This window comes from Homo sapiens, chromosome 7 (genome assembly GCF_000001405.40).
Source record: "Homo sapiens chromosome 7, GRCh38.p14 Primary Assembly".
In the NCBI taxonomy this organism is placed as follows: Eukaryota; Metazoa; Chordata; class Mammalia; order Primates; family Hominidae; genus Homo; species Homo sapiens.
In genome coordinates, this window is record NC_000007.14 from 100049676 (window position 1) to 100062680 (window position 13005).

At 48.1% G+C, this 13005-nt stretch overlaps 1 protein-coding gene across 8 annotated transcripts in view, besides 2 other annotated features; it reads left to right on the forward strand.

Moving 5' to 3' along the window:
* Nucleotides 1-620: an enhancer, noted in NCBI's record as "H3K27ac-H3K4me1 hESC enhancer chr7:99647299-99647918 (GRCh37/hg19 assembly coordinates)". NCBI's record gives its function as "activates a minimal SCP1, AML or CMV promoter by ChIP-STARR-seq in primed H9 embryonic stem cells {active_cell/tissue: H9 hESC(primed)}" and the evidence as "EXISTENCE:reporter gene assay evidence [ECO:0000049][PMID:30033119]".
* The window catches only part of ZSCAN21 (zinc finger and SCAN domain containing 21), a 15267-nt gene continuing 2360 nt past the window's right edge, over nt 99-13005 (forward strand). For 2 of the 8 annotated variants that reach the window (XM_005250568.5, XM_047420807.1), the window contains exons 1-4: nt 99-1161; nt 1803-1971; nt 7236-7730; nt 8023-8215. In XM_005250568.5, coding sequence (XP_005250625.1) covers nt 7332-7730; nt 8023-8215 — 592 coding nt within the window. In that variant the 5' untranslated portion in view covers nt 99-1161; nt 1803-1971; nt 7236-7331. The remainder of the gene's footprint in view (nt 1162-1802; nt 1972-7235; nt 7731-8022; nt 8216-13005) is intronic. The other 6 variants (NM_145914.3, NM_001362781.2, XM_047420806.1 and 3 more) reach the window with 5 other exon arrangements.
* Nucleotides 9685-9804: an enhancer, noted in NCBI's record as "active region_26333". NCBI's record gives its function as "activates an Ori minimal core promoter by ATAC-STARR-seq in GM12878 lymphoblastoid cells {active_cell/tissue: GM12878}" and the evidence as "EXISTENCE:reporter gene assay evidence [ECO:0000049][PMID:35858748]".

A 13005-nucleotide genomic window follows, 5' to 3' on the forward strand; every position in this document is an offset into this window, starting at 1 on the left:
ATGTCCCAAGGGCCAGAGACACAGAGAGGACCTCCCGAATTTCTAGAGGGGCCGCTACGGCCCCGCACTACTTTTCCGCGGGGGCGGGGCTATGACGCACTTCCGGGTGCGCGGTCCCGAGGTACGCGGTGCGGTCTCCCGGTACCCGGAGCGGCTCTGATTCATGGTGAGCCTGCTGGTCGCGGGTTAGCGAGGCGGACAGGAGAGGGAGCCGTGGCTGAATGGTCTGGGGAGGGAGGAGTGGGTTTAGCAGCTGTGGCTTCCGAGGACCCCACCTAGACCGGTCCTAGCAGGGCTGTGGGGAGGAGCTCCTCGTCCCCGCCCAGGACCAGCTGGTGGGGGCGCTGGCTGCCTGGAAAGCCTTTTCTTCCACTTGGGGCTTTAACAAATGAAAGCTGGAAGAACAGATGTTTTGGAAGTTCTTTCGCGTTCCAGAATAGTTTTTTTTGTGCGTTCCCCAAGCCAAGCCGTCTATCAGTCTGACCGTGGCCGCCTTTTTTCCCTTTCTCTGAACTGGAGGTCCGAACGCAAGGCTCATTGATGGCAATACGCCCAAGGTGTTGGAAACCTGTGGGAAGCCGAACCTCATTAGAAGTGTTGGGTAGAATCAAATCCAAGGGAAGAAATAGTCCCCTCGGGCTTTGTTCGGGCTAGAACACACACACAGAATAGGGATCTGCTCATGGTTTAGAAAAACAGTCTTAAAGAACCATGTATAAATAAAAGAGTGTCAGGACAAAGTTGATTTGGGCCAGGCGCGGTGGCTCACGCCTGTAATCCCAGCAGTTCGGGAGGCCGAGGCCGGCGGATCACTTGAGGTCAGGAGTTCGAGACCAGCCTGGCCAAACCCTGTCCCCACGAAAAATACAAAAATTAGCTGGGTGTGGTGGAGCGCGCCTGTAATCCCAGCTACTCAGGAGGCTGAGGCAGGAGAATCGCTTGAACCCACCAGGTGGAGGTTGCACTGAACCGAGATCACGCCACTGCACTCCAGCCTGGGCGACAGAGCAACACTTGGTCTCACAAAAAAAAAGAACGTTGATTTGATGGGTGAGGTACTTGGAAACCCACGAAATCTAAGGAACAGTTGAGCTGTGGAGAGGAAAAGAATTAAGAGGCAAGATAATTGTTTTCAAGTGTTGGAAGGCTGCTATGGAGAAAGTGAGTATTGGTCTTGGACTAACCTAGGATTTTTGAAATGATGCGGAATTTGATTCAGGTTAAAGAATTTGTGTGGCCGGGCGCGGTGGCTCATGCCTGTAATCCAGCACTTTGGGAGGCCGAGGCGAGTGCATCACCTGAGGTCGGGAGTTCGAGACCAGCCTGACCAACATGGAGAAACCCCGTCTCTACTACAAATACAAAATTAGGCGGGCGTGGTGGCACATGCCTGTAAGGAGGCTGAGGCAGGAGAATCGCTTGAACCTGGGAGGCAGAGGTTGCGGTGAGCCGAGATCGCGCCATTGCACTCCAGCCTGGGAAACAAGAGTGAAACTACGTCTCAAAAAAAAAAAAAAAAAAAAAAAAAGGAAGAACTTGTAACAATTAGTGGAATTCTGTGGCTCAAGAATTATCTAATTTGGCTGCCTAGGGATCTAGGGATTTTCTTTTTTTTTTTTTTTTTTTTTTTTTTTTTGAGATGGAGTCTCGCTCTGTCGCCTAGGTTGGAATGCAGTGGCGCGATCTCGGCTCACTGCAAGCTCCGCCTCCCGGGTTCTAGCCATTCTCCTGCCTCAGCCTCCCAAGTAGCTGGGACTACAGGCGCCCGCCACAACGCCTGGCTAATTTTTTGTATTTTTTAGTAGAGACGGGGTTTCACCGTGTTAGCCAGAATGGTCTCGATCTCCTGACCTCGTGATCTGCCCGCCTCGGGCCTCCCAAAGTGCTGGAATTACAGGTGTGAGCCACGGCGCCGGGCCCCCTAGGGATTTTCAGGTACGGACTGAGTGTGAAGCATTTTAGCACAAGTGGGTAAGTGCTGTTCTACTTTTAGAATCTATGGTAATTTGATTTTTTTATGCCTCATCTTGTTACAGAATGGACTTGGGGCGCTTTCATAAGGGCATATAAGCTGTGGGAGATTGGCATAAAGGAGGAGGGAAAATGGACACAGAACAAGGGCCTTCTGTTTATGATAGACCATGAACTTTTGCTTGATGGACTTCTTGAGATAAACAGTCTAGATAGCTTTTAAAAAGTCACTGTGATTGTAGACAATGTGAGTTAGTAATGAAGCATTTGATTTCTAGCCGCATGCTTCTTTATTTTTTTAAGAGACAGGGTTTTCCTTTGTCACCCAGGCTGGAGCACAGTGGTACAGCCACAACTCTGCAGCCCGGAACTCCTGAGCTCAAGTTATGCCTCAGCCTGGGCAACAAAGCAAGACTTCGTTTCTACAAAAATAAGTAAATCAATAAATAAATTTTTTTTAATTAGCTAGATGTGGTGATGCACACCTGTAGTCCTGGCTACTTTGGAGGCTGAGGTGAGAGGATCGCTTGAGGCCAGGAGTTCAACGCTGCAGTGAGCTGTCATGGCACCACTACACGCCAGCCTGGGCAACAAAGCGAGACCCTGCCTCTGTAATTGAAAAACAATAAAATAAAGACCCAGTGAAGTGGTTCACGCCTGTAACCCCAGAACTTTGAGAGACCAAGGCAAGAAGATGGCTTGAGACTAGGAGTTCAAGACTTCCGTGAGCTGTGATTGTGCCACTGCACTCCAGTCTAGGCAACAGGCTAAGACACTGTCTCTAAAAAATAAAAAAATTAAATTAAAAAAAAAAAGTGAAAGAGGATTCGGGATGACCCCAGGTTTTTCGGTCCAAGTAAAAAGAACAATGAGAGTTGCCATTAGCTGAGATGAGCAGCTTTTGAGGGAGAGATGGGAATTCCATTTTGGACATGTTAAGGTTGAGATGTCTTACTGGACATCCAGGTGGTAATGGCAAGTGGGTAGTTGGTCGTATGAGTCTGGAGGTCAGCAGGGAGGTCTAAGTTGGAGATACAGTTTGGGCAGTTGTGAGTATATAGATGGTAATTAAAACCATGCAACTTGTGAAATCACCAAGGAGAGTGAGTGCAGGAAGGAGGAAGGGCACCCGGCCCTCTACTCGTTTGTAGTCTTTATGCATTGTACATTTGAGTTGTGTGCACCGCAAAACTGATGTACCACCGGGCGTGGTGGCTCACGCCTGTAATCCCAGCACTCTGCGAGGCCGAGGTGGGCAGATCACTTGAGGTCAGGAGTTCAAGACCAGCCTGGCCAACATGGTGAAACCCCATCTCTACTAAAAATATAAAAATTAGCCGGGCATGGCACGCACCTGTAATCCCACCTACTCAGGAGGCTGAGGCATGAGAATAACTTGAACTCGGGAGGCGAAGGTTGCAGTGAGCCAAGATCATGGCACTGCACTCCAGCCTGGGCAACGGAGTGAGACTCCATCTCAAAAAAAAAAAAAAAAAGAACTGATGTGCCTAGAATAAATCACTTAGCTAATGAGCTTACCCAGCCAACTGCCCAGCAGCAACATCCAAGGAAACTTTTTTTTCTGTAATTTGCAGAGGCAATCATGTGATCCAGTGGCATCTGTGAATTTGGATTCACCAAGTTCTCAGAGTGTATCGCACATGAATGTTATGTTACTACATGACGCTCCCTGTGTGATGCCAGCAGGTGCTGCATGACTCCCTGGTGAATTGCCTTGTTTCCCAGGCCAGATCACAGAAGCTGAGCAGCCCAAACAATGGTTTCTTTCCTGGTCTTAGGGTGCCCTCCTCTGGATAGAGTATTAAATTTTGTAACAGTTACGTAAAGTTAATCTGCCACTGAGGAGGGCTCTTACATACATACATACATACATACATAATTTTTTTTTTTTTTTTTTTTTTGCAACAGAGTCTTACTCTGTTACCCAGGCTGGAGTGTAGTGACAGGATCTTGGCTCACTACAACCTCCACCTCCCAGGTTCAAGTGATTCCCTGCCTCAGCCTCCCAAGTAGCTGGGATTACAGGTGCCTGCCACCACTCCCAGCTAATTTTTGTATTTTTAGTGGAGACTGTAACTTGTAATTTTATGGCAACTATATTTTTTTAGGTTTAACATGTGGCCCTAAAGAACCAGAAACCGAAAGGAACCAGTATTCCTGCCCCACAGAGTCCCATCTTTAGTGAGGCTATTTCTGGAGTTTATATGATGACCAAGATACTAGGTATGGCCCCAGTTCACCATGTTGGCCAGGCTGGTCTCAACTCCTGGCCTCAAGTGATCCGCCTGCCTTGGCCTCCAGAAGTGCTGGGATTACGGCCGTTAGCCACCACGCCCGGCCAGTCGTTTTAAATATTCTAAAGAATGCTCTCCAGCACAGCTACCTCATTATTTCTTGTTTATTTTAGTCTTTGGTGCTCAGGCCTTTGTTTTAGTAGGTGAGATGACGTTGCATCTCCCCTGACTCAATTTTTAAGTAGTCCTCAACTTGGGCACTCCTGTGGTATGTACTGAGTACATACAGACTTATTTGGCCAAAGAATCCTTTATTCAAATTATTGGTTATAGTGTGTTTTGTTTTTTGTTTTTTGTTTTTTTTTTGCAACGGAGTCTCACTCTGTTGCCCAGGCTGGAGTGCAGTGGCACAATCTCGGCTCACTGCAACCTCTGCCTCCCACGTTCAAGCTATTCTCATGTCTCAGCCTCCCATGTAGTTGGGATCACAGGTGCCTGTCACCACGCCCGGCTAATTTTTGTATTTTTAGTAGAGACGGGGTTTTGCCATGTTGGTCAGGTTGGTCTCGAACTCCTGACCTCAGGTGATCCACCTGCCTCGGTCTCCCAAAGTGCTGGGATTACAGGCGTGAGTCACCGCACCCCGCCTTAGTTATAGTGCTTTTGAACAAATTTTGGGAAATAATTCTGTATGCATTTTTTTCCGTGCCTTACAGTTTCCCTTTTCATGCTTTGGTTTGCTTCCTGATGTCTTAATTCCACTGCTAAACACTCCACCAACATTTCTTTTGGTGGAGCGTGGTGGTGCGTGCCTGTAGTCCCAGCTACTCAGGAGGCTGAGGCAGGAGAATCGCTTGAACCCGGGAGGCGGAGGTTGCAGTGAGCCGAGATCACGCCACTGTACTCTAGCCGGGGCAGCAGAGTGAGACGCTGTCTCAAAAAAAAAAAAAAAAAAAAAGACTAATCAAAGCCTTAATTTCATAACTATGAACCGTGTTTACAGAATGTTAGCACTAAAGTCCATTTTGTTTGTCAGAAAACTACTTATGATCTCTCTTTTTTTTTTTTTTTTGAGACTGAGTCTTGATCTGTCACCCAGGCTGGAGTGCAGTGGTGCAATCTTGGCTCACTGCATCCTTCCCCTCCCAGGTTAAAGCGATTCTCCTGCCTCAGCCTCCTGACTAGCTGGGATTACAGGTGTGCAACACCACACCCGCCTAATTTTTGTATTTTTAGTAGAGACAGGGTTTCACCATGTTGGCCAGGCTGGTCTCGAACTCCTGACCTCAAGTGATCCGCCCGCCTTGGCCTCTCAAAGTGCTGGGATTACAGATGTGAGCCACTGCACCTGGCACTTCAGTTTGTTTTGTTTTTATTTTTTGAGACAGAGTTTTGCTCTGTCACCCAGGCTGGAGTGCAGTGGCGCGATCTCGGCTCATTGCAACCTCTGCCTCCCATGTTCAGGGGATTCTTGTGTGCCTCAGCCTCCCAAATAGCTGAGATTACAGGTGCACACCACCATGCCCAGCTAATTTTTGTATTTTTAGTAGAGACAGGATTTCACCATGTTGGCCAGGCTGGTCTCAAGTCCAGGCCTGCCTCGGACTCCCAGAGTGCTGGGATTACAGGCATGAGCCACTGCGCCCGACCTCAGTTATTTTTAATGTACTAGTTAATTACACCCTTCGAGCATGACTCAGGTCATACTGACAGGCCCAGTCATTTGACTAGTGAATTTTCCTTTTTTTTTTTTTTTTGAGACAGAGTCTCGCTCTGTCACCCAGGCTGGAGTGCAGTGGCGCGATCTCTGTTCACTGCAAGCTCCACGTCCCTGGTTCAGGCCATTCTCCTGCCTCAGCCTCCCGAATAGCTGGACTACAGGCGCCTGCAACCACGCCCGGCTAACTTTTTTTTGTATTTTTAGTAGAAACAGGGTTTCACCATGTTAGCCAGGATGGTCTCGATCTCCTGACCTCGTGATCCGCCCGCCTTGGCCTCCCAAAGTGCTGGGATTACAGGCGTGAGCCACCGCGCCCGGCCCTCCTCTTTTTTTTTTTTAGACGGAGTCTCGCTCTGTCGCCCAGGCTGGAGTGCAGTGGCACAATCTCAGCTCACTGCAAGCTCCGTCTCCCGGGTTCACACCATTCTCCTGCTCAGCCTCCCAAGTAGCTGGGACTACAGGCACCCGCCACCACGCCTGGCTAATTTTTTGTATTTTTAGTAGAGATGAGGTTTCACCGTGTTAGCCAGGATGGTCTCGATCTCCTGACCTCGTGATCCGCCCACCTCAGCACCTCCCAAAGTGCTGGGATTACAGGCGTGAGCCACCATGCCTGGCCTTGACTAGTGAATTTTCATTGCTCAAGCTAAATGTCTTAGGTTTAAACAGATGGCATCTAGCCAGTAGATAGCTTGATAAAATCTCAGAAACTATAATATCTATAGTGGTGAGATTCTGAACTAGTTTTGGAGCAAAGTTAACTTTAAAATTATGCCACATTGCACTTTTTAGGAAAGTGGAGACCACTGAAATCAAAGTAGGATATCCTGAGCTGATTGCAGAAAGATTTTTTTTTTTTTAGAGATGGAATCTCGCTCTGTTGCGCAGGCTGGAATGCAGTGGCGCAGGCTTGGCTCATTGTATCCTCTGCCTCCTGGGTTCAAGCAATTCTCCTGCCTCAGCCTCCCAGGTAGCTGGGATTACAGGCATCCATCACCACGCCTGGCTAATTTTGTATTTTTAGTAGAGACAGGGTTTCACCATGTTGGCCAGGCTGGTCTCAAACTCCTGACCTCATGTGATCCACCCGTCTCAGCCTCCCAAAGTGCTGGAATTATAGGCATGAGCCACTGTACCCAGCTCATTCCAGAAAGATTTTGAGCAGTTGTTTTTGTATGGTAGTTTTATGGTGGACATAATTTCCACAATTTCTTGTGTTAAAGGTATGGCTGTAAAGACCCAAAAACACTTTTCAGTTTGATTATTTTTTGGTAACTATATTTTCTTAGGTTTAACTTGTGGCCCTAAAGAACTGGAAACCCAAAGGAACGAATATTCCTGCCCCACAGAGTCCCATCTTTGGTGAGGCTGTTTCTGGAGTTTACATGATGACCAAGGTACTAGGCATGGCCCCAGTTCTGGGCCCTAGGCCTCCACAGGAGCAGGTGGGGCCTCTGATGGTAAAAGTCGAGGAGAAAGAAGAGAAAGGCAAGTACCTTCCTAGCCTGGAGATGTTCCGCCAGCGCTTCAGGCAGTTTGGGTACCATGATACCCCTGGACCCCGAGAGGCCCTGAGCCAACTCCGGGTGCTCTGCTGTGAGTGGCTGAGGCCCGAGATCCACACCAAGGAGCAGATCCTGGAGCTACTGGTGCTGGAGCAGTTCCTGACCATCCTGCCCCAGGAGCTCCAGGCCTGGGTGCAGGAGCATTGCCCGGAGAGCGCTGAAGAGGCTGTCACTCTCCTCGAAGATCTGGAGCGGGAACTGGATGAGCCAGGACACCAGGTAGGCAGGAGAGACCTTTGTTATTCTAGGAGATTGGGAGCGTAACATTCTAGGCAGGAACAAGGGTTTGTCCATACATTAAGATTTGCTGAATGGAAATTTCTGCTGAATTAGACCTTGTTTCCTCCTATTTTTCTCTATCATCCTAAACTAACTTTTAGCCTTGGGAATGGAATGGGATGGGTGTTTTCCTTTTCTCTTTCCTAGAGGTTCTATGTAGCTCTACTGGGATTTTCATTCTTGGTCTTAAAGTGAGCCATGCACAAACCTAGCCATTCCTGATTGTCTCTAGGTCTCAACTCCTCCAAACGAACAGAAACCGGTGTGGGAGAAGATATCCTCCTCAGGAACTGCAAAGGAATCCCCGAGCAGCATGCAGCCACAGCCCTTGGAGACCAGTCACAAATACGAGTCTTGGGGGCCCCTGTACATCCAAGAGTCTGGTGAGGAGCAGGAGTTCGCTCAAGATCCAAGAAAGGTCCGAGGTGAGGACCACCCATTAGACTCCTATTCAGTGCCCCAGGCCCCTGTGGTTGGAGAAGCAGAATAATTAGTAATTCTTGGTTGTGAGGTGATTTCATAGATTGACTTGATTAGTTGGGCTGACTGGGTGGAAATAGTCCCCTTTCCTCCCCCAAGTAAGGCTGTCTTAACCTGGGCCCTAGCATGGGAATGGATCACTCTTAAAGGATCAGTTTCTCTTTGAAGTCTGAGTATTACAAATAATTTTTTTTAAAGGGTCAATTGAAATGAGTTTAAAAAAGAAACTGTTAACAGAGGTGTAGAGACTTCAAATGAACCAATAAGGAATAGTGTTGCACCAGACAACAGTGAAAAGCTGTTACTCCCTGTGAGCCTAAAGGGACAGAGGGGGACCCTCTTACCAGAATCAGGTAAGAGCTATAGTCATGGAGGAGGGGGTCACTTGATAGAAGTTGTGGCTGTAGGCCCTGCTGTGGGATGAGGAGAAAACGGAATAAATACCCCAACTGCACCCTCCTCCTGCCCTTAAATCTCCTGCTTTTGTTCCCCAATGACAAACTCAGTTGGCAGCCAGAGGGCAGGAAAGACAAGACAGTGCAGCCCTTAGGGTCAGCTTCCTGGGGCACAGGGCGGGTCAGAGAATGGATCTGAGAAGGGCAAATGGGAAATAATTGGCAACCTCCTTTCTGAAGCTATGGAAAGAGGTGGGGCATTTTTCACAAGTCAAAGCTGTATTAGGTGACTACTCCTGAGCTCAAATCTCCATATATTATGGTTTATAGAATAATCTCAGGCCATAAATGGTCATCCCCTGTGGGGGTGTTTTTGTGTGTTTTTCTGAGACAGGGATTCCATCCGTCATCCAGGCTGGAGGGCAGTGGCGTGATCATAGCTCACTGCAGCCTCAATCTCTGGGGCTCAAATGATCCTCCCACCTCAGCCTCCCAAGTAGCTGGGACCACCATGTCTGGCTAACTTTATTTTTTTGTACAGACAGGGTCTCACTATGTTGCCCAAGCTGGCCCTATGTTATTTTGTTATTTTATGGGTTCTACTCTTAAGTACCTTCATTTACCAGAAGGATTAGAACTAAATCTTTGAAACAGAGTTAATGTTTAATTATATGTTTGCAAAAATATGGCATATTATTCCAAATCCTAATAGTTTCAAACCAGGACTTTGCTTACGTGTTGGTGGTGTAGACCACTATTTATGTGTGTGGTGTGATTTCATGACAAGAGTCCATGGCCCTCAGAAATCTCCCTCCATGCTTGCTGTGTCTGAAACGTGAAACTCCATCATGGAAACAGAGTTTCGAGCCGGTTAAAAATCACATTTTCTAGGAAAAGTAAAAAATTAAACTGTTAGCTAAATTCTTCATGGTTTATGGTGAACACAGTAGACCTCTCCAGGCAATTGGGGTTTCCCCAGAGTTGCCACAGTAATTAGAGATAAAAATAGCCGGAGACCTATCTGGTCAGTTTTATTTTCCATATCTCTTGGTGTAGCCCCTTGGCAGTATTACACAAAGAGGAGGGTGGAGTGGAAGGATTATCAGAGCCAGGAACAGGCTTGGGTTTTAGTACCCAGATGGGACAGAAGACAAAGCTGCTGGGCCCTCCTAAGGAAAGGGAAGTTGGCTGTGAAAGCTTTGCATAAAGTCTTTTTTTTTTTTTTTTTTTTGAGACGGAGTCTCCCTCTGTTGCTAGGCTGGAGTGCATTTATGCAATCTCGGCTCAGTGCAACCTCTGCCTCCCAGGTTCAAGAGATTCTCCTGCCTCAGCCTCCCGAGTAGCTGGAACTACAGGTGCACACCACCACGCCCAGCTCTTTTTAAAAAAACAGAGTTTCGGTCTTGTTGCCCAGGCTGGAGTGCAGTGGCGCTATATCGGCTCACCGCAACCTCCGCATTCCAGTTTCAAGTGATTCTCCTGCCTCAGCCTCCCGAGTAGCTGGGATTATAGGCTTCTGCTACCATGCTCGGCTAATTTTTGTATTTTTGGTAGAGACAGGGTTTCACCATGTTGGCCAGACTGGTCTCGAACTCCTGACCTCATGATCCGCCCTCCTCGGCCTCCCAAAGTGCTGGGATTACAGGCGTGAGCCACCACGCCCAGCCAAGAAACTGTTAATAAAAACACAAACAGGCACCTTTGACAGAAACAAAATAGAATTTCTAAAAGTGAAAACTGTAGTCATTGAAATGAAGAATGCAATGGCTGTTTTAAATAATGAAGGACATGATTAGCAAACAGAGGTAGATGGAAGGAAGTCATCTGAAATGCTACTTAGAAAGATCAAGGTGGCAGGCATTGGACATCAGTGTGGGATCAGATGAGAAGGTCCAGTGTATGTTTAATAGCTGTTCCAGAGGAGGCGGAAAGAGTTGGAGAGGGCAGACATGATGGCTCACACCGGTCATCCCAGCACTTTGGGAGGCCGAGGAGGGCGGATCATGAGGTCAGGAGATGGAGACCATCCTGGTCAACATGGTGAAACCCCATCTCTACTAAAAATACAAAAATTAGTTGGGCGTGGTGGCATGCACCTGTAGTCCCAGCTACTCAGGAGGCTGAGGCAGGAGAATCGCTTGAAGCCAGGAGGCGGAGATTGCAGTGAGCCAAGATCGCGCCATTGCACTCCAGCCTGGCAACAGAGTGAGATTCCATCTCAAAAAATAAAAAAAAAACCAGACTGGCTGGGCATGGTGGCTCACGCCTGTAATCCCAACACTTCGGGAGGCTGAGGCAGGCGGATCACCTGAGGTCAGGAGTTTGAGACCAGCCTGGCCAACATAGTGAAACTCCATCTCAACCGGGCATGGTGGCACGTGTTGTCCCTGGGACCTGTAGTCCCAGCTACTCGGGAGGCTGAGGCAGGGGAATCGCTTGAACTTGGGAGGCAGAGGTTGCAGTAAGTCAAGATCGCGCCACTGCACTCCAGCCTGGCGCAACAGAGTAGGACTCCGTCAAAAAAAAAAAAAAAAAAAACATTTCTACTAAAAATACAAAAATTAGTCGAGTGTATTGGTACACGCCTGTAGTCCCAGCTCCCAGCTACTTGGGAGGCTGAGGCAGGAGAATCACCTGAACCCAGGAGGTGGAGGTTGTGGTGCAGCAGTGACCTGAGATTGCACCACTGCACTCCAGCCTGGGCGACAGAGTGAGACCGGGTCTCAAAAGTAACCAAGACATAAAAGACGGATTACCCCCCTCAAAGGAATGCTGATTAGACTGATGACAAACTACCCAACAGTAACAGTGCAGCCTGGAAGACAATGAAATAAATAGTCCTGGTAAATTCTTTTTCAATTTTTGCCTCATTCAGCTATTTTTTAAAATGTTAACTTTTGGCTGGGCATGGTGGCTCACACCTGTAATCCCAGCACTTTGGGAGGCCAAGGCAGGTGGATCATTTGAGGCCAGGAGTTTGAGGCTAGCCTGAGCAACATGGTAAAACCCCATTTGTACAAAAAATACGAAAATTAGCCAGGTGTGGTGGCTAGTGCCTGGGGTCCCAGCTATTCGGGAGGCTGAGGCAGGAGGATCATTTGAGCCTGGGAGGTGGAGGTTGCAGTGAGCTAAGATTATGCCACTGTACTCCCACCTGGGCAACAGAGCCAGACTCTATCTCAAAACAAAACAAAGTTTATGAGGTTACTTCTGTCCCACACATGTAGTCCATGGCTGTCCAGTGACTCGAAGAGAAGTCTGTGTGTAGGCAAGCGATTGCTAATTATGGAGAGTGTGAAGGACTTCAGCTGCTGAAGCTCTGACCCCCAGCAGATGGTGAGGAGAGGGTGAGCCTGGAAGCAGCTGATAGTCACTGTCAGCAAAGGAAGGAGATAGACAGCTGGGCAGAGAGAGAGAAGCTGTCAGGGCGGTTCCTAGGGAAGGGGAAACGGGTGAAGAAGGTAGCTTGCTGACAGGCTTCTGTACCCTCAGAGGACTAACAGTTCTCCAAGGGGTCCCATTTTTCAGAGCGAATTTCTCTTACTCCCCTTTTCCCTGATGTGGATGGCCAGGTGGACTTTGAAGAGGTGTGACTGCCTGGTGAGGCGTTCTAAAAAGATAAACTGGTTCCATCTGATTTTAATAGTGAGCGTCACTTTATAACTGAATTACAAGATGTAGCCAGTGTAAGTAAATGATGAGCGTGAAGCCCTCTTGGAGATCACGTGCTTTCATTCTGATTGATACGGATCTGGGGCGGGAATGATTGTAAATGGTCAGAATGCCCTCTGATTGCTTTTATGTTCAACTGCTGTGGGAACATGGGTTTTTGTGAGTTTGCCACTCAGCCTCATCCTTAATTGTCCTTGTCATTTTCCTTAACCCTGGCCCTGCAGCAGTCATTCTCCCTTGTTTTTAATCTGCGTGAGGCTCAACTGTTCTTTTTTTTTTTTTTTTTTTTTTTAAAGGGCCGGGTGTGGTGGTTCATGCCTGTAATCCCAGCACTTCGGGAGGCTGAGGCGGGCAGATCACCTGAGGTCAGGAGTTCTAGACCAGCCTATGGTCTAGAACATGGAGAAACCCTGTCTCTACTAAAAATACAAAATAAGCCGGGCATGGTGGCACATGCCTGTAATCTCAGCTACTCGGGAGGCTGAGGCAGGAGAATCGCTTGAACCTGGGAGGCAGAGGTTGCGGTGAGCTGAGATTGAACCATTGCACTCCAGCCTGGACAACAGGAGCAAAACTCCATCTCAAAAAAAAAAAAAACATCTGGGCACGGTGGCTCACGCCTGTAATCCCAGCACGTGGATCACCTGATGTCAGGAGTTTGAGACCAG